The sequence below is a fragment of the Homo sapiens genome, chromosome 1 (assembly GCF_000001405.40).
Source record: "Homo sapiens chromosome 1, GRCh38.p14 Primary Assembly".
In the NCBI taxonomy this organism is placed as follows: domain Eukaryota; kingdom Metazoa; phylum Chordata; class Mammalia; order Primates; family Hominidae; genus Homo; species Homo sapiens.
In genome coordinates this window covers 235939137-235957609 of record NC_000001.11, presented here as the reverse complement: position 1 = coordinate 235957609, position 18473 = coordinate 235939137, and the positions used below count along the sequence as shown (strand labels likewise).

The window sequence follows — 18473 nt, the reverse complement described above, 5'->3', positions numbered from 1 at the left end:
CTTTTCCCACTGTGATTACCAACAAGACCAGTGGTGCCAATGGACACAATTGTAGAGGAGCTTTTGGGGACATAGCATCAGATGCACTTGGTGGCATCCGATAACCACAACTTTGCTGTTCTGAATAAGGCAAATGGGCCAAGGGTCAAAAAGATAGATGGATTATAGTCCTTTGATGTCACCTGTATTAATATAGTGCCAGTCTTAGTATTTGATAGGGTGCTGAGGGAATGGGGAGGAATCTTAATAAGTATTCTAAAATTAGCTCTTAGAAACCTGGAGTTACATTTTGTTGGTTGCTTTGGTCAAGCAAAATAAAGGATAATATATAGCTTTTGTAGGTACCCTCTGGCCCCTCCTCCCAGCCTGTTTCCACCCCTCCTTCCCGCCTGTTTCCACCCCTCCTTCCCCACCTCCTCATCCCCCATGAAATAAACATTATAGTAGCACTCAACTGTTAGGACATCTCAAACTTTCCATCCAAATGCTCTTTAGGGCAAAAGAGCTGAATTGTACCCCCTTAGGGAGGGGACAGTGGAGGGGAGCTGTAGGAGGGTACCTGTGGAAGGCATGGGGACATATCAAAAGCTAGATATTCCTGTGACGTGTCGTGGTTTATCTTTTAAAAATCTGCATGAATCTTGCATTAAACTCTGTAGTAATATAAAGTTTCAAATGTCCCATTTTAACTCCTTAACCATGTGTTGTGGTGAGACCTCCAGCTTTGTTCCTTTTACTCGATTGCTTTGGCTATCCAGGGTCTTTTGCATTTCCACATGAATTTTAAGATTGTTTACTCCCACTTCTGTGAAGAACATTATGGGTATTTTGATAGGGATTGCATTGAATCTCTAGACCTCTGGGTAATATGGACATTTAAATACTATTAGTACTTCCAATCCATGAATATGGGATAGTTTTCCATGTATTTGTGTTAATTATCTGTTATGGGTTGACTTGTGTTCCCCCAAAAAGATATTTTGAAGCCCTAATCCCAGTACCTCAGAATGTCATATTTGGATTAAGGTGTTTGCAGATGTAGCTGAGTTAAGATGAGGTCATTAGGATGGACCTTAATACAATATGACCGGTGTCCTTATTAAAAAGGAGTGAAAAGCCTGCTGGGATTTTGATAGGGATTGTGTTGCATCTACAGGTCACTCTGGGGAGATTTGCCATCTTAATAACATTGAGGCTTCCAATCCATGAACATGGACTGTTTCTCCATTTATTTAAGAAGGGCTATAATTCCTAAGCAACTATTACACTCAGGCCCTTAGCCTAAATCACATATGGTGTGCCATTTACTGATGTGGCATCTGAGGCCACAGACGTTAGGAAGACTATGAAGATGACACATGGCTAGCATGCTGGGATTCGAGGCTCCATCTGTGTGACGCTGTTTCCACTTCATCCTGTTGCTTCTTCTCACTGTTAAGGTGGCTGACAGCGCCCCAGCTATCTCTAGTTTAGGGCACTTCACTGGCATAACTGGTTGTCTTAAAAAAGAGAAGAGAGATTGATTGCAAACAAAAGAGAGATTGGATTCTCTATAGTGACCTGGAAATATGTTCAAGATACAGACGTAAGTGAGTAAGGAAGTCACAGAACTGTGTATATTTTATGGCCTATTTTTATACAAACAAAGACTTATGTGTATTTGCACTTAGGGAAGGCCTGGAAGACGATCCAAGAAATTCTTAACAGTGACTCTCTCCAGGGAGGATAACAGTGATCATGGTCAGATTAATGAGGACTTTGACTTTTCATCTTACATTATTGTCTATAGTCATTAGGATATTTTACTATAAGCAGCTGGACGTGGTGGCTCATGCCTGTAATCCCAGCACTTTGGGAGGTTGAGGTGGGAGGATCATTTGAGCCCAGGAATTTGAGAATAGCCTGGGCAACATAGTGAGACCCTGTCTCTACAAAAAATCTAAAAATTAGCAAGGCGTGGTGGCTTACACCTGTAGTCCTAGCTACTAAGGAGGCTGAGGTAAGAGGATGGTTTAATCAGAGGCTGAGGTGGGAGAATGACTTGAGCCCAGGAGTTTGAGTCTGCAGCAAGCTATGATTGTGCCACTGCACTGGGTGCAAAAAAAAAATTAGAAAAAAAAAATATATATATATGACTATAAACATGCATTTCCCCCTTACGCAGGAGTATCCAATCTTTTGGCTTCCCTCGGCCACATCAGAAGAAGAATTGTCTTGGGCCACATATAAAATACACTAACGCTAACGATACTGATGTATTGCAAAACAATCTTATAATATTTTAAGAAAGTTTACGAATTTGCACTGGGCCACATCCAAAGTCATCCTGGGTCACATGTGGCCTGCAGGCTATGGGTTAGACAAGCTTGCATTGAAAGAATCGAGTTGGGTGGTAATGGGGTAAGATTTTCCCATATTGCCAATTGTAGAACCTCGAAAATGGGAAGTTGTCTGGTTCCGCTTCACAACCGTAGTGACTGTGGAGTAACAGCCTTCTGAGAATGCACCTTGCAGGAATGAGAGCAGAGGAGGAAGTTGCACACAAGCACATGCACATATGCACCTGAGGGAACACACCTGTATCTGTCATTCCCCAGGGCTGAGTGGAGCTGCTGCCCGAAGACTAGGCTGCCAGCTGTTCCTCTGGGGTGCGTAGGCCACTTACCCCATCTCCAGAGCCACTCACCCATGGCTGCTGCGGGCCTTGCAGCAGTTCCTGTTTGGGGATGAAGGTAGCCTGTGAAAGTGACAAAGAGGAAGCTGTGGCTGCAACAGTGAGAGCATGGTGTGGGGGGGCCCCCTGCCCTTTGCCCTCTAGTAATGGGATTCTCCTGGGCACCTGTGCAAATGGCTCAGCAGGAGACGGAACGCTCCCTAGTGGAGACCATGGAGTAGGTGAGATCTTCATACTGATTCTCCTTCTCCCTTCTCCTGTTATTGCCCCTTACCCAACAACCTTCCCCGTCCCCTCCACACCCCACCCTTCCCTCCACTGGGGTGCTTGTTTTTGAGTTGGAGTCTCGCTCTGTTACCCAGGCTGGAGTGCAGTGGCATGATCATAGCTTACTGCAGCCTTGAATTCCTGGGCTCAAACAATCCTCCAACCTCATTCCCTTGAGTCACTGGGACTACAGACACAGGCCACTATGCCTCTGTTTTTTTTTTTTTTTTCTTCTAACTTTTGTAGAGACAGGGTCTCCCTATGTTGCCCACACTGGAGATTGGGGCATTTTCACACTGCATTGAAATGACCACCTCCCAAACTGGCCTGTGAGTGTTTTGAAGGTAGGGACTCTTCTCACTGATCTTTGCTTTCCTGATACCTAGAATCATACTGGGTACATAGCAGGCACCTCATAAATATTGGTTGGATGAATAGAAGGATGGAGCTAAAGCAATGAAAGCTGACATATTTCCACCCAAAACAAATGTTCCTCCATTCCAAACTCTCTCCCATTGCCTAGATGTGGCCTCACATCTCAGTCTGCTTTCCAGTGAGTATATTCCTCTGCACACACACAAGCACACCGTGGGAGACACCGGTGTTGTCCTCACTGGTCCTCCTAAACATCCAAATGCATAGCAGCCTGTGAGAACAAGACAAGCCACAGGCCAGGAGAAAATATTTGCAAAACACATGTCTGATGACTGATGTCCAAAATATGCCAAGAACTCTTATACTCAACCATAAGAAAAGAGATGGCCTAATTAGAAAATGAGCAAAAGATCTGAACAGATACTTCACCAAAAAAGATATACAGATGGCAAGTAAGCATAGGTAAAGAGGCTTAACATCAAATGTCATTCAGAAATTATGAATTAAGTCAACAGTGAGATACAACTGCACACTTATTAGAACAGCTCAAATTCAAAACACTGAGAATGTCAAACATACTGAGAAACCAAGAACCCTGAGAACATGCTGGTGAGGATGGGAGCCACAGAAACTCTCATTCATTGCTGATGGGAATGCAACGTGGTGCAGCCACTTCGGAGCACAGTGTGATCATTTCTTGCAAAGCTAAATACAGTCTTGCCATAAGATCCAGCAATCATGCTCCTTGGTATTTACTCAAATGAGTTAAAAACTTACAACTACACAAAAAACTGCACACAGATGTTTATAGCAGCTTTATTCATAATTACCAAAACCTGGAGACAATCAAGATGTCTTTAAGCAGGCGAATGGATAAACAAACTATGGAACACCCAGACAACGGCATGTTATTCAGGGCTAAGACGAAATGAGCTATTGAGCTCTGAGAAGACATGGAAGAAACTTACATGCATATTACTAAGTGAAAGAAGCCAATCTGAAAGGCTACATATTATGTAATTCCACTCTATGACACTGGAAAAGGCAAAACAATAGAGACAGTTAAAAAAAAATCTGTGGTTTTGGGGTAAGGTGGGGTGGGGAAGGGATGACTAGTGGAGCAGAGGGGATTTCTCGGGCAGTGAAACTATCCTGTGTGATACTACAATGATGGCTACATGCCATGATACATTTGTCTAAACCCATAGACTGTGTAACACCAAGGGGAAGCCCTAATGTAAACTTTGGACATTAGTTAGTAATAATGTATCAATATGGGCTCATTGATTTGAAAATGTATACCACACAAATGCAAGATAATAATAGAGGCTAAGGAGTGTATGGAGAACTCTCTCTACTTCCTGCTTGATTTTTTCTGTCAGCACAAAATAGTTCAAAAAATAAAGTCTAGGCTGGGTGCAGTGGCTCATGCCTGTAATCCTAGCACTTTGGGAGGCCAAGGCGGGCAGATCACCTGAGGTCAGGAGTTCAAGACCAGCCTGGCCAACATGGTGAAACCCCACCTCTACTAAAATACAAAAATTAGCCAGGCATGATGGCAGGTGCCTGTAATCCCAGCTACTTGGAAGGCTGAGGCAGGAGAATCGCTTGAACCCAGGAGACAGCAGTTGCAGGAAGCCGAGATCATGCCACTGCACTCCAGTCTGGGTGGCTGAGCAAGACTCCGTCTCAAAATAAATAGGTTGGGCGCAGTGGCTCACGCCGGTAATCCCAGCACTTTGGGAGGCCGAGGCGGGCAGTTCACGAGGTCAGGAGATCCAGACCATCCTGGCTAACACAGTGAAAACCCATCTCTACTAAACATACAAAAAATTACCCGGGCGTGGAGGCGGGCACCTGTAGTCCCAGCTACTCGGGAGGCTGAGGCAGAAGAATGGCGTGAACCCAGGAGGCGGAGCTTGCAATGAGCCGAGATCGCACCATGGCACTCCAGCCTGGGTGACAGAGCAAGACTCTGTCTCAATAAATACATACATACATACATACATACATACATACATACATACATACATACAGTCTGTTACAGAGAGAGAGTGGGCAGCCCCTGCCACCTTATTATTTGGCCTATAAACACATCAGGATATTCGCAATAACACGTTGCTGCTGGGATCATTAGCATCAAATATTTGCACATCAAGGGTCTTCTGTGTGCCCTGGGACACCCAGGGGCGAGAGCAGAGAGGTGCAGCAGGTCAGTCTGGTGGGACCTTCATTTCCAACCCACTCTCTTCAGTCTGGTCAGCTCAGGGTCTGCTCCTGGCCCTGTCGTTGCCCCTGACAAGGAGGCTATAGGAACACCATGGACTTTCCAGTCCCATTGTAAAGCACTTGAATCTCTTAGCAAATCAGGTGGCTGTTTACAGCAGCTCCTGCTTCCCCCTGAATACGTCTCCTTCACCTTCTCTGGGGCTTTCCAGCCCTGCTCTTGGTGAGGAAGCTCTGGGAAGAGAGAACCAGTCTGTGCTCTGCTCCACCCAGAGGCCTTGAATTGACTTTTTAAACTATGCACGTATAACTTATAACTGTCCTTTTTTTTTTTTTTTTGAGATGGAGTTTCACTCTTGTCACCCAGGCTGGAGTGCAATGGCGCTATCTCAGCTCACTGCAACCTCCACCTCCCACGTTCAAGTGATTCTCCTGCCTCAGCCTCTCAAGTAGCTGGGATTATGGGATTGTGCCACCACGCCCGGCTAATTTTGTATTTTTTAGTAGAAACGGGGTTTCTCCGTGTTGGTCAGGCTGGTCTCGAACTCCTGACCTCAGCTAATCCACCTGTCTTGGCCTCCCAAAATGCTGGGATTATAGGCGTGAGCCACCGCACTCGGCCAACTGTCCTTAGATGTTTAAAACACAGTGAAATGAAACACAAAATCAAAGGTTTTGTTTTGGGGCTGGAGACAAAAGAGCTGGAATTATTGAAGATGCAGGATGGAGCTGGTCCCCAGGGTCCCCGGACCATGCAGAGGACTGCACCAGCCATATTAGTTCACTCAGGCTGCCATAACAAAGTACCACCGACTGGGCAGCTGAAACAACAGAAATGTATTCTCCCACAACCCTGAGGCTGGAAGTCTAAAATCAAGGTGTCTGCAGGGTTGGCTCCTCCTGAGGGTATGATGGGGAATCTGTTCCAGGCCTCTCTCCTTGGCGTGTCTCTGACTGTCTTTATCTTCATATGGTATTCTCCCTGTATGCTGTTTGCCTCCAAATTTCCCCCACTTTTAAAATAGGGTACCAGTCATATTGGATTAAGGTCCACCCTTAAGACCTCATTTCAACTTGATTATCTCTACAAAGACCATATCTCCAAAGAAGGTCACATTCTGAGGTCCTGGGTGTTGGGACTTCAATACGGGAATTTGGGGTGGGGAAGCAACATAATTCAACCCCTAACACCCAAGCATCCAACGACTGCAGGGAGAAGCTCTTACAGGGAAGGAAACACCAAGTCGCCAGTGTCCTGGGAGATGCAAAGAGCACAGAGCCTCTCTGGTTACCTCAAGAAAAGGATTATGGGAGCTCCAGGAAAATTAGGATAGCAGAGCTCAGGGCCACGGGCTCAGAAGGCTCCTGGCTTTCCGCAATGAGCAGGGTTCACTCTGCCTCCTGCCACTCAGCTCTCCTTCCCTCTCCTTCTGCACAGCCCGGCTCCCCACTGGTTTCTGCCCCAAGTCTTACCTCCTTGGATCAGCCATCCTTCCCCCTGGCCCGATGCACAATGGCTGGGGTTGGGAGGGAAGCAGGAGGAGAGTTACGGAACAAAGCGTGGCTGCTCCAGACAAGGGGCCACAGCAGGCAACACGCAGCAGCTGGACAATCGGCCAGTGTGGCCAGCGTCCCCGACAGACGGCAGGGGCAGCTCTGGGGAGGCTGGTAATGGCTATTGTAAATCAGTTGCTTTGAAGTGATTGACTACATTGTACATCAGTGGGAATTGTGGATTTAATTGGCTAACACCTGCCATGCAAAAGCCATCTTAGAAGCAGCCACTTTTCCTTGTAAGTGTGGCTGTGGGTCTCTGAGAAGACACCCCATCCTGCATCAGACCTTCACACTCCTGCCAAGAGCCAGTCTGGGGACCCAGGGGTGGTGGCAGTGTTGGCCACTGTTTCCAGGGCTTCTTTAAAAGGAAAACAGGCTGGGAGTGGTGACACACACTTGTAATCTCAGCACATTGGGAGGCTGAGGCAGGCAGATCGCTTGAGGCCAGGAGTTTAAGACTAGCCTGGGCAACATGGCAAAACCCCATCTCTACCAAAAAAAAAAAAAATACAAAAATTAGCCAGGCATAGTGGCGCACACCTGTAGTCCCAGCTATTCAGGGGGATGAGGCAGGAGGATTGCCTGAGCCCAGGAGGTCAAGGCTGCAGTGAGCTATGATTGTGCCACTGCACTCCAGCCTGGGTGACAGAGTGGGACACTGTCTCAAAATAAAAAAAGGGAAAGCAGATGGGCCACAGGTCTAGGTGTATCCACCCAGCTGGGTGGGAGTCCACAGCGCTGCTGGCAGGTTCCTGAATCACATCTACATTATCACTGAACAGAGCTAAATAAACGAAATGACACCGAGGGCCTGAAAGAAAGCCTGGCTGAGGCCGGGCACAGTGGCTCAAGGCTAGGCATGGTGGCTCAAGGCCGGGCACGGTGGCTCACGCCTGTAATCCCAGCACTTTGGGAGGCTGAGGCAGGTGGATCACCTGAGGTCAGGAGTTCGAAACCAGTCTGGACAACATGGAGGAACCCTGTCTCTACTGAAAATACAAAAATTAGCTGGGCGTGGTGGCACGCACTTGTAATCCGCTACTCGGGAGACTGAGGCAGGAGAATCGATTGAACCCAGGAGGCAGAGGTTACAGTGAGCTGTGATCGCACCATTTGCATTCCAGCCTGGGTGACAAAAGCAAAACTGTCAAAAAAAAAAAAAAAAAAAAAAGCCTGATCGATCTTTGGGATTTAAGAGCCTTGTTCTGGTGACTGGGCACAGAGGGAACAGCGTGGCTCCTGTCTGTTCATGAAGGAGTTTATTTTGCTTGGCAGACATGATGGCCCTGGGTATCAACAGGTGGGTGTGCTCACTTGTAAATGAGACTTCCTGCCCAGGGGTAAGCCAACTTATGTTATTTTAGGATAATTCTATTTAATTAATATAAATATTTAATACCTCACCTCTTCCCAAAATGAATTGGAGATAGCAACCCATATCTTAAAGGAACTTGATGTTCTGTATGATAAGGAGTTCTGTGTTCTGGAATACTTCATCAAAAGACTGAAACATTTTCACATTAGGTTCCTTTGACCCTGGCCTGAAAGGGAAAGTGGTAAATGAAAGGAAACAGGCGTAAGCAAAACAAACTTGGAGAGAGGACTTGGAGAGCCTGAAGAGTTGGGGAGGGAAGGTCTGCCTTGGGCATCTCTCCCCAGTGGACTGTGTGACTCCAGGGGAAGAGTAGATCATGGAACTCCCCCTGTACAGACCAGAAGCTGGACATCAAGGTTGAAGACCATTGTTAACAATGTTTTTTACCTGTTTTTTGTGATCATCCTAGCTACGAGCTTAGTGGTTTAGGACTCCGAGTCCTAAGCTCTTCCTGCCATTGCTATGCCCCAGTGATACCACTGCAGAATAATACCTCTGTTTGAAAAAGTAAGAAGTTGTCGGTCATGCATTTCATTTTTATAGAACTCTTTCACACAAGCAAAGAAGAAACTGATGTCCTCCCCCAGGGCCAATGTATCATCAGCTCACTTGTTAACAAGTCCTTTAAAAATGTAAAAAGACTACCTTCTTAGTGAGTTGGCAATTTTAGCAAGGGCTTAACTAGTGATTAGACTCCCTTTGCCATACTGTTTTATTCATTTGCTACTCAAAGATTCACCCAGGGCTTATAGAGGACTGATACAACTTTCCAGCTATTAAATTCCCCATAAGTTGTATTGTTAACTTTACAAGAATACAAGAATGAAACCCACATGTCCTCGCTGTGCAGAGCCAGCAGAATCTGACTCCATAGGGTTTACAGGCGACACTTAGTGGAGAGCCGCATTCCCTACTTGGCAAACACAGCATCAGTGGGAAGGTTCACAAGGTCAGGGAGGAAGATCAATCATCTCTCGCTGTAAAGTTCTCTATGGACCAGGTGCTGGTGGCTCACACTTGTAATCCCAGCACTTTGGGAGACCAAGGCGGGGGGATCGCTTAAGGCCGGGAATTGAGACAAGCCTGGGCAACATAGATCCCATCTCTACAAAAAAAAATTGTTTTTTAATTAGCCAAGTGTGGTGGCACGCGCTTGTAGTCCCAGCTACTTGGGAGGCTAAAGCAGGAGGATCACTGGAGCCCAGGACTTCGAGGCTGCAGTGACCTATGGGTCCACCACTGCACTCCAGCCTGGTTAACAGAGCAAGACACTGTCTCTAAAAAAAGAAAATTCTTGGCCGGGCACAGTGGCTCATGCCTGTAATCCCAGCACTTTGGGAGGCTGAGGAGGGTGGATCATGAGGTCAGGAGTTCGAGACCAGCCTGAACAACATGGTGAAATCCCGTCTCTACTAAAAATACAAAAATTAGCCAGGCGTGGTGGCGCATGCCTGTAATCCCAGCTACTCGGGAGGCTGAGGCAGGAGAATCGCTTGAACCTGGGAGGCAGAGGTTGCAGTGAGCTGAGGTCGAGCCATTGCACTCCAGCCTGGGCAACAGAGTGAGACTCTGTCTCAAAAAAAAAAAAGAAAGAAGAAAGAAAATTCCCTATTGAGCAACTTCTCTGTTCCAGACACTGTGTCAGGTATCATGGAGGATGCAGAGACTGTGCAACTTGGTCCCTGACTACTTTAGGACAAGGAGGAAAGCACGAGGACTTAAACGAAAACACGAGGCAGAGGAGCATGCTAACCATACGGCTCTGCCAACACTAAGAAAAATCCATCACTTCTCCAAGGTTGAATTCCAGTGAGGCAGTTTGTCCAGCAACTGTACATTGCCATCTTTTGTTTGTTTGTTTGTTTGAGAAAGAGTCTCACTCTGTCACCAAGGCTGGAGTGCAGTGGTGCGATCATAGCTCACTGCAGTTCTCAACCTCCCAGGCTCAGGTGATCCCTCTCACCTCAGCCTCCCAGGTAGCTGGGACTACAGGCATGCGTCACCATCCCCAGCTAATTTTTTGTATATTTAGTAGAGACAGTGTTTCACCATGTTGCCCAGGCTGGTCTCAAACTCCTGGGCTCAAGCAATCCTCCCACCTCGGCCTCCCTAAGTGCTGGGATTGCAGATGTGAACCACCATGCTTGGCCTACGTTGTCATTTATAATGCACATTCCAGCCCTGGCTCTTCACCCCTTCTCTATAAACAGCAAACCACAGCCCTGTTGGAAGTTCTCACGGGAAAGCAGCTAGCGGAGTGTGGGGCCTCAATTGTGTGCCCTTTAAAGAACCTCCACTTATTAACCTCAAACATGAAGTTATTATTGAAAAGGAGAAGACAGACTGCCTGCCTTAACCAAGGGTTGTGTTTGCAGGGTTCCTTTCTGGGAGCTGCAATCAATAACCAAGACCTGGTTCTAGAGGGCAGTAGTGACACACCCATTCCAAATTGCAGACAGTCCAAAATTACCAGACCCAGGGCTCAGCCCTTTCAGAAGGACACAGTGGGCAGCATAGAAATAGAAGATGAGTCGAGCCCACTCTGCCGATTGCAGGTCACGAAATTACCAGATGATGCACTGAAACAGGGCATCAAAACCAGGCGAACAGGGGGAGCTTGGAGTAGGAGACTCACTCTTCACCTGGTCATAGAAGGCGGGGAGTCCCTAGCCTGGTCATGGGGTAATGAAAGCTTGTGCAAGGAACACTGTGTGAAATATTATGCAAAACTCTTCCGCCAAACGAAATGCTGCAAAGGACTTCTCTCCAGACGGAAAATGGAACTAAACCTAGTATCGCTTAGGGTGGAAGTCCAATTCACAAAAACTCCCTTGGTGCTCTTCTGGACACTACAAAATTAGCCCCGCCCACAGGTCCACCCTACAACTGGGTCTGAGTCCAGACTCACAGGCAAGTTCAAGCATGTGGGGCCATCTTTGCCCCACTCAGTGCCCTTTCTGTATACTCAGTGCAAACAAGAGTTTTCGTAAGCAGACCGCCTCCAGAGTTTGAAAACCATTCATCGTCAGATCTTAGGCCAGACTTCCAATTTAGGGCACTTTGCCCTCAGCCTCCGTGTGGTTTCTTTTTTTTTACAGGCCTCAACTGTGAGAAGATCCGTTCTCACCACCCCTCAGTCCCTCTGCGCTTTGCTCTTGTCCTACCAGCACCCTTCCCCTGCCAAAGATGCCCCTCCCCACTTCCTTACTCTCCCCCAGCCTCTGTGCCGGCCCCAGAACATGAGTACATGTGTGAGTGAGCACATGCGTGTGTGCCTGAGTGCACATGCATATGTGTGTGTGTATGTATGTGTGTGTGTGTGTGTGTGTGTGTAGGTATGTGTGTGTGTGTGTGTATGTATGTGTGTGTGAAGCTGCCCCTGAGGTAGAATCTGGTAGATGGGGCAAGAATTCATTTATTCAACTCAATTGATTAGGCACTTACTATGTGGGGAGATACAACAGTAAAAAGACAAAAATCTGGCCGGGTGCAGTGGCTCACACCTGTAATCCCAGCACTCTGGGAGGCCAAGGTGGGTGGATCATGAGGTCCGGAGTTTGAGACCAGCCTGGCCAACATGGTGAAACCCCATCTCTACTAAAAATAAAAAATTAGCCGGGCTTGGTGGCGTACTCCTGTAATCCCAGCTACTCAGGAGGCTCAGGCAGGCAGGAGAATCGCTTGAACCCGGGAGGCGGAGGTTGCAGTGAGTCGAGATCATGCTACTGCACTCCAGCTGGGGTGATAGACAGAGACTCTGTCTCAAAAAAAAAAAAAAAAAAAAAGACAAAAGGCCCTGCCCTCCTAGTGGGTGATGGCCCCTAGGAGCTGTGCGTTGCTAAGCAGGCCAGGGAGACAACTCTAGGATACCAGCAAGGGCCGCCTCCACAAAACCAGAGAGAGGCCAGCTTGTATGCCTCTGGGCGGTGCTGTCACCCCACTCCCATCCCATCCCAGTGAGGTGCTCTCCTTCCCCTCGGCGCTCCTCTGTGGAAGCATTCTTTCTCCCATAGGTATTTGCAGTCTGTGAGGACCAAAGCCTGTGGCAATCTCAACATCACCTGTAGAAAGTTTTTCTTTTAGGGGGAGGTTGTAGCGGGAGGTTGTGGGGGGACAGAGTACATTTTCCAGGCCGTCACAGATCCTGAACTTAGGACTGGCCTCTTTCCTTCAGTAGCCACGTTGGCTCTGTGTCCAGGAGAACAGTCACTGTAGATCCACGGAATGGCTGTCGTGTGTCTCTGTTCACTACCGTGGAACGCAGGGGGTCCCAGGAAGGTGAGAAAGCCAGGGCTGGGTGTTGGGCTGAGCATGGGGGAAGGAAGAGAGCTGGAAATTACTGTCGATCAGGTAGGGCAGTGAAGGAGGCTGGCAAAGTTGGTTAAGGTAGGAGGATGCAGGTACTCAAAGGTCACAGAATCACCGGAAAATGATATTCATTGAGTTCACTTGTCACTGTGTTTGCTCATGGGAGGTAGTAGAGAGAGCACACTGAGATGGCTTCCCATTCAAATCCTCCTCCTGTTCATCTCCAGCTGCGTGTCTCCTGATGAATTATTTAACCTCTCCGGGCCTCCTTTTGCTCATTTGGAAAATACTTTTAATTGATACTTATTTTAGAAGGAGGTTGTAGAGATAATGAATAGGAAGGGCAGGGCACATTGAACAAGTTTCATAAATAATATGCACCATAATCATGGCACTTAATTCTTATAGCAAGTCTTAAAGGTTTATCTCCTAGGAGGAATTTTAGAGATCTTCCAGTTCAGCGGTTTTCGAACTTTGGCCTGCATCAGAACCTCCTAGATAGCACGTGTGTTAAAACACAGATTTCTGGGATCCACTCCCAGAGGCACTGGTTCAGTAGGTCTGGGTTGGGACCAGAGAATGTGCATTTCTAACTAGTTCCAGGGCGATGCTGAGGTCGCTGGTCTGGGGACCACACTTTGAGAACCACTGTGCTAGCCTAAATTCCTCATTTTGCAGAGGACGGTCCTGAGGTTCAATCCTGTTAGCTCCTTCCCCATGGTCAATAGAGTCAGCCTCCCAGATCCAGGTCCAGGCCAAGGTCAGGAGATCCAAGCTGGGAGACAGGAAAACAAAGTACAGCATTCAGGAAATGTGAGGATGCAAAAAGCCACACTCCAGGCAATGAGCCCCAGGGACGGACCCAAGGTTCCAGCGAGAGGAATGATCTTAGCAGACAGCAAACCATTGCTGTGCTCCGGAAGAGAACTGGCCTCAGTGAGGTCCTGAGCCACAACAGTCCACGTGTCTGGCCTCAGGGAGCATGTGTGTGTCAGGGATGGGGGGATAAGGATTGTGTGGGTGACACAGGAGGGTGAGAACCGAGTGTAAGTGCATCTGTGTGTGTGAGTGCTTCTGTGTGTCAGTGTTTTTGGGTGAGGGTGTGTATTAGTACGTGTGTGAATATGTGAGCTTGTGTGAGTGTGTATGTCAGTCTGCTTGGGTATCATCACGATGCGTCACACACAGCGTGGCTTAAACCACAGGAATTTATTAGTTTACAGTCTGGAGGCTGGAAGGCCAAGATCATGGTATTGAAATGGTAAGGATGGTAAGTTATATATGTATATTTTATCTCAACTAAAAAGACGAATAATTTTTTTAAAAGATCATGGTGTTGGCAGGGTTGGTTTTTCCTGAGGCCTCTCTCCTGGGCTTGCAGATGGCTGTCTTTTCCGTGTCCTCACAAGGCCTTCTCTTTGTGCGTGTTCATGTCCTGATCTCCTCTTTGCATAAGGACACTGGTTAGACTGGATTAGGACTCACCCTCAAGATCTCATTTTGATATAATTACCTCTTTAAGAATCTATTTCCAAATAAGGTTGCATTCTGAAGGACTAGGGATTAGGGACTCAGCATATAAATTTGGGAAGGGGATGAGATTCAGCCCATAACAGCACATGTATACATGTGCACATGTGCATGTGTGTGTACGTGTGTACGTGTATGTGCATGTGTGTGATGGGCCCGGGAGCATGAAGAAGGTGCTTTACAGAAGGCCTGGTAATGTTGGGGAATACCTTGGTGACATCTTTCCCAGCAAGAGTTCTGGCAGATAAGAAATCTGACTTTCTTCTAGCCTCATCCTGGGTTTGTGAGTTTATGAAGAAGCTGAAGAGCTCCATCACTTCCCAGCTAAACATAGCTCTTCAGATCTCAGGGTTTAAGATGATTTCCTCCTAAGTCAACGCAGCATTTTGCCTCCATTCAAGCAACCCCTTGCTCCAAGCATCGTGATGTGACAGTGCAGCGTTCACCGGCCCACCCCAGCTGATCTGCCCTATGGCACAAGAATAACAATTGGAAAAACTTGGCTTCCCTCCGAGAGCAATGCCAGCTTTGCCCAGGCCAGCCATCTCTGGCATAACTCTGTTCATTTGAGCTTTCCTCATGTGTGATCATCCTTGTATGACCCCGAGGCCAGAATCCCCACTTATTAAAGCTAGGAAAGACATTTTTGAGGCTCTAGTTAGTTTGTTCTTTCATAGTGAAAGAACCATTTGTGGGCTCAAAGGGGGATGTGGCAATAGGTTATTTCGGGCTTTCGAAAGGCCTGTTTTCCATCTGGAATGGATGTATTACCTAATAGGCCATCCTTTATAGGAACTGAACAAAGACTCGCTGACACAATCTCAACGGTTGGCCGTTCTTGGGACAGCTAGACAATTATTTTGCTTCTGGGTACAACAAGCACAAAAGAAGGGGCCAAGGTACACGCAGACCTTAGTTTGAGTTGGAGAAGGCCTGAGGGATAAACCATCAGGAAAGCTCATGAGTTTTCAGAAGCTTCTGGGGCCATCAGGTTGATACCAGCGTGGATGCACCAGGCTGAGGGCTGATGAACCACAGGGCGGTAAATACAGGGCCCAGCCCAGGGCCTAGGGACAGTTCCCGCCCACTAAATGTTTGTTGATCAAATGACTGATTGGAGGAATGAAAAATATTATTTAAAGGAAGGCAAGTGTGTGAGCCAGGCGGGAAAGAGAGGGCTGGACGTGATGGAGAGAGGTTATAACCAGCTTCCTCTAGAAGGCTCATTGCAGCAACCACATGGCCTTTGAGAAAAGCTTTTCATCAGGAGACGCCTCAGTCTGCCTAAAGTTATGTGTTAAGTGTCCATTGTATGCAAAACAGTGGGAGGCAAATAAAAGAAGTCCTTTAGAAAATTTCCATTTCCTGCTTATATTTCATACAGAAAAACATAATTAAAGCTATAGACATAAGGAAAAAGACTGGAAGAAAAATGGAAAAATAATAGTAATTGTACCGGGGTCGTGGGATGATGGCTAAATTTATTTTCTCTTCCTGAGTTTCTATAATGCTCTTTCTTGGCTTTAACATCAAAATAGGGATTCAAAGAATCATGATTGTCTGCAGTTGTGATCGCTGCAGTCAACTCAGGACAGGGGTGCCTTTCCTGGAACCCATAGCTCAATTCAGAGGGTGGGGGGTTTGGTAACAGTGGAGCAAAGACCCCAGCAAGGCAAACCTGAGCCATTCTTGGGACAGGGTTGGTCTTGATGGGGCCACATCTCCACATGGTATCCCCCACTTAATTTGCTCCAATACCCCCAAAACCCGGCTTCGTTTTTTCGCTCCTCTTTATCCTTTTTCCCTTGCTCATTCATTCATCAAACAACTATCAAGCTCCTTCCTATGAACAATGAGTCCCATCAAGCCCTGGGAATACGTAGAATGAGAATCAGGTCCTGGGCTCACCACTTGCAGAGGAAGCAGATATTTAAACAAATGGAGCCAGGCACGGTGGCTCATGCCTGTAATCCCAGCACTTTGGGAGGCCGAGGTGGGCGGATCACCTGAGGTCAGGAGTTCGAGACCAGCCTGGCCAATATGGTGAGACCCCCCGCCGTCTCTATTAAAAATACAAAAAAGATCTGGGTATGGTGGCGGGCATCTATAATCCCAGCTACTCAGGAGGCTGAGGCAGGAGAATTGTTTGAACCCAGGAGGTGGTGGGTGCAGTGAGCTGAGATCACGCCACTGCACTCCAGCCTGGGCAACAGAGTGAGACTCCATCTCAAAAATAAATAAATAATAAAAAAACAAGTGAAGACAGAACAGGAACAGTGGAAGAGCCAACAGGCTCTCAGTGCCAGGAATCTGAGCATCAAGGAAGGGAGGCTTCCTGAAGGTAGCTGATATGTTTGATGATAGATGGTAGATGATATGTTTGAAGTGAGTCCCAAAGAAAAGGTAGGAACGCAAATAGGAAAAGACTTTCTGCAAAGAAGGAAATCTGTTTGCAAAGGTACAGCTCCAGAAATGCACAGTGGGTCATACACATTGTTTTTAGGAGGAACTGTGAGGTCATCAGTCTGGAGCCAAGGGTGCAAGGTGAGAGGGGAACATGAGTAGGCACAGCCAGGCATTGAAGGGCCTCGTCTACCCTACAAAGGTGTGTGGACTTATCCTACAGACATTGAGTTGCCTGAGTATTAAAGTAGCATGAAGACATGGTACCATTGGTTTTATAGCCAGAGAATTCTGGTAGCCATAAGTAGGGCAGGGAAGTGGGACCAAGGGCCAGAAGCGTGATGATGAAACCGGGTTGGGTGGTGGGGTGGTGAAAGCCTAAGCTACGTACCCAGCAGTGAGTGTCGACATGATACTGCAGTGCTGTGACTTGCAGGTCAGTTGGGAGGAGAATGAGGGTGGGGAAGCCAACGGGTTGATCTCTTCGCTCTGCCAGCACCAAGTTCTGGGTGCTCATCCACTCCCTGACCCACAGCTCTTTGCTGTCTAATGTACCCAGCACCTTGCAGCCACACTAACCTTCCCCAGGCAGTGTCATCTCATCCCTGTTCTCCCCAACCACCTTGTAGAGCATAATTGCATAAAGGTTAAATTCCCCCTTCATTTTTAAAAAATTAAATTATTTATACATTTTTAAAGCTATCTTTTGTTTTAGAGATAGAGGCTCACCCTGTCACCCAGTCTTGAGAGCAGTGGCACGATCACAGCTCACTGCAGCCTCAACCTCCTGGACTCAAGAGATCCTCCACTTCAGCCTCCCAAATAGCTGGGACCACAGGTGTCCACCACCATGCCCGGCTAATTTTTTAAATTTTTTGTAGAGATAGGGTCTTGCTATGTTGCCCAGGTTGGTCTCGAACTCCCAGACTCACATGATCCTCCAGCCTCAGCCCCTCAAAATGCTGGGATTACAGGGGTGAGCAACCACACCTGGCCAAAATCCTCTTTTAATGGCTACATTCCAAGTCCCCTATTCAGCCTTCACGCTCAGTATTTCCTAGTGTGAAATACCTCCACCCAAGACACCCTGTTATGTCCTCACAGAACCTGCCATTTCTGCACTGACACTCTGTCCTCACAGTGTCTCCAAGGGCTGCCCTCCTCTACCTGTGTGAATGAAATACATCCTCCAAGGCTCACCTCCCCTGTGAAACCTCCCCCACCAGGGTTCCTCATAGAAAGCTCTCCCTCTGCTGATTCCTATGGCATTTTTTCCTGACACTCTACCACTCTTGTTTTGCACTGTTACTTACATGTTTTGAACATGTGTCATGGCTCACAGAATAACGTAAGCTCTTTGTGGGAGAGAAGCCATGAGTATCTCTCAGAAGCCAGTATAAAGCTCCCTATATAGTAGGAGTCAGTAGATATTGATTGACTGTCAGTCTGTCTATCGAGAGGCTTATCAACAGTACCTGTCACTCTGCTGTCATCAGTGTGACTGGTGTGCAGTACTGAGAACGGGCCCTGGTCCGAAGCCTCTGCCATTTATCATAAACTCATGACCTCAGGCCAGTCACTTAACCTCTCTGGATCTTCATTTCCTTATCAGTAAGACGGCAAAGTTAGAGGAATCAATGGTGGTTAATTCCTTTCCACTTTTTTTTGATCATAGGACTTCCTTTCAAATGTGGACCTGCTTGTGTGCAGTACATGACGGAAAAGCTGCTAGGAACCCAGCCTTCTCCTCCCCCCTCC

General features: G+C 47.3%; 2 long non-coding RNA genes across 6 annotated transcripts in view, besides 1 other annotated feature; one reads left to right on the top strand and one right to left on the bottom strand.

The window, feature by feature from the left end:
• LOC105373215 (uncharacterized) overlaps positions 1–18473 on the bottom strand; it is a 66658-nt gene that overhangs the window by 1333 nt on the left and 46852 nt on the right. For 3 of the 5 annotated variants that reach the window (XR_001738537.2, XR_001738540.2, XR_001738542.2), the window contains one exon: positions 2073–2737. This is a non-coding gene — a long non-coding RNA (uncharacterized LOC105373215). Of the gene's footprint in view, positions 1–455; positions 1500–2072; positions 2738–8503; positions 8641–18473 lie in introns of those variants that run through there. The other 2 variants (XR_002958490.2, XR_001738539.2) reach the window with 2 other exon arrangements.
• Positions 1–18473, top strand: part of LINC02768 (long intergenic non-protein coding RNA 2768) — a 61478-nt gene that overhangs the window by 14902 nt on the left and 28103 nt on the right. The window lies entirely within an intron of this gene.
• Positions 10903–10972: a silencer, noted in NCBI's record as "silent region_1994". NCBI's record gives its function as "represses an Ori minimal core promoter by ATAC-STARR-seq in GM12878 lymphoblastoid cells {active_cell/tissue: GM12878}" and the evidence as "EXISTENCE:reporter gene assay evidence [ECO:0000049][PMID:35858748]".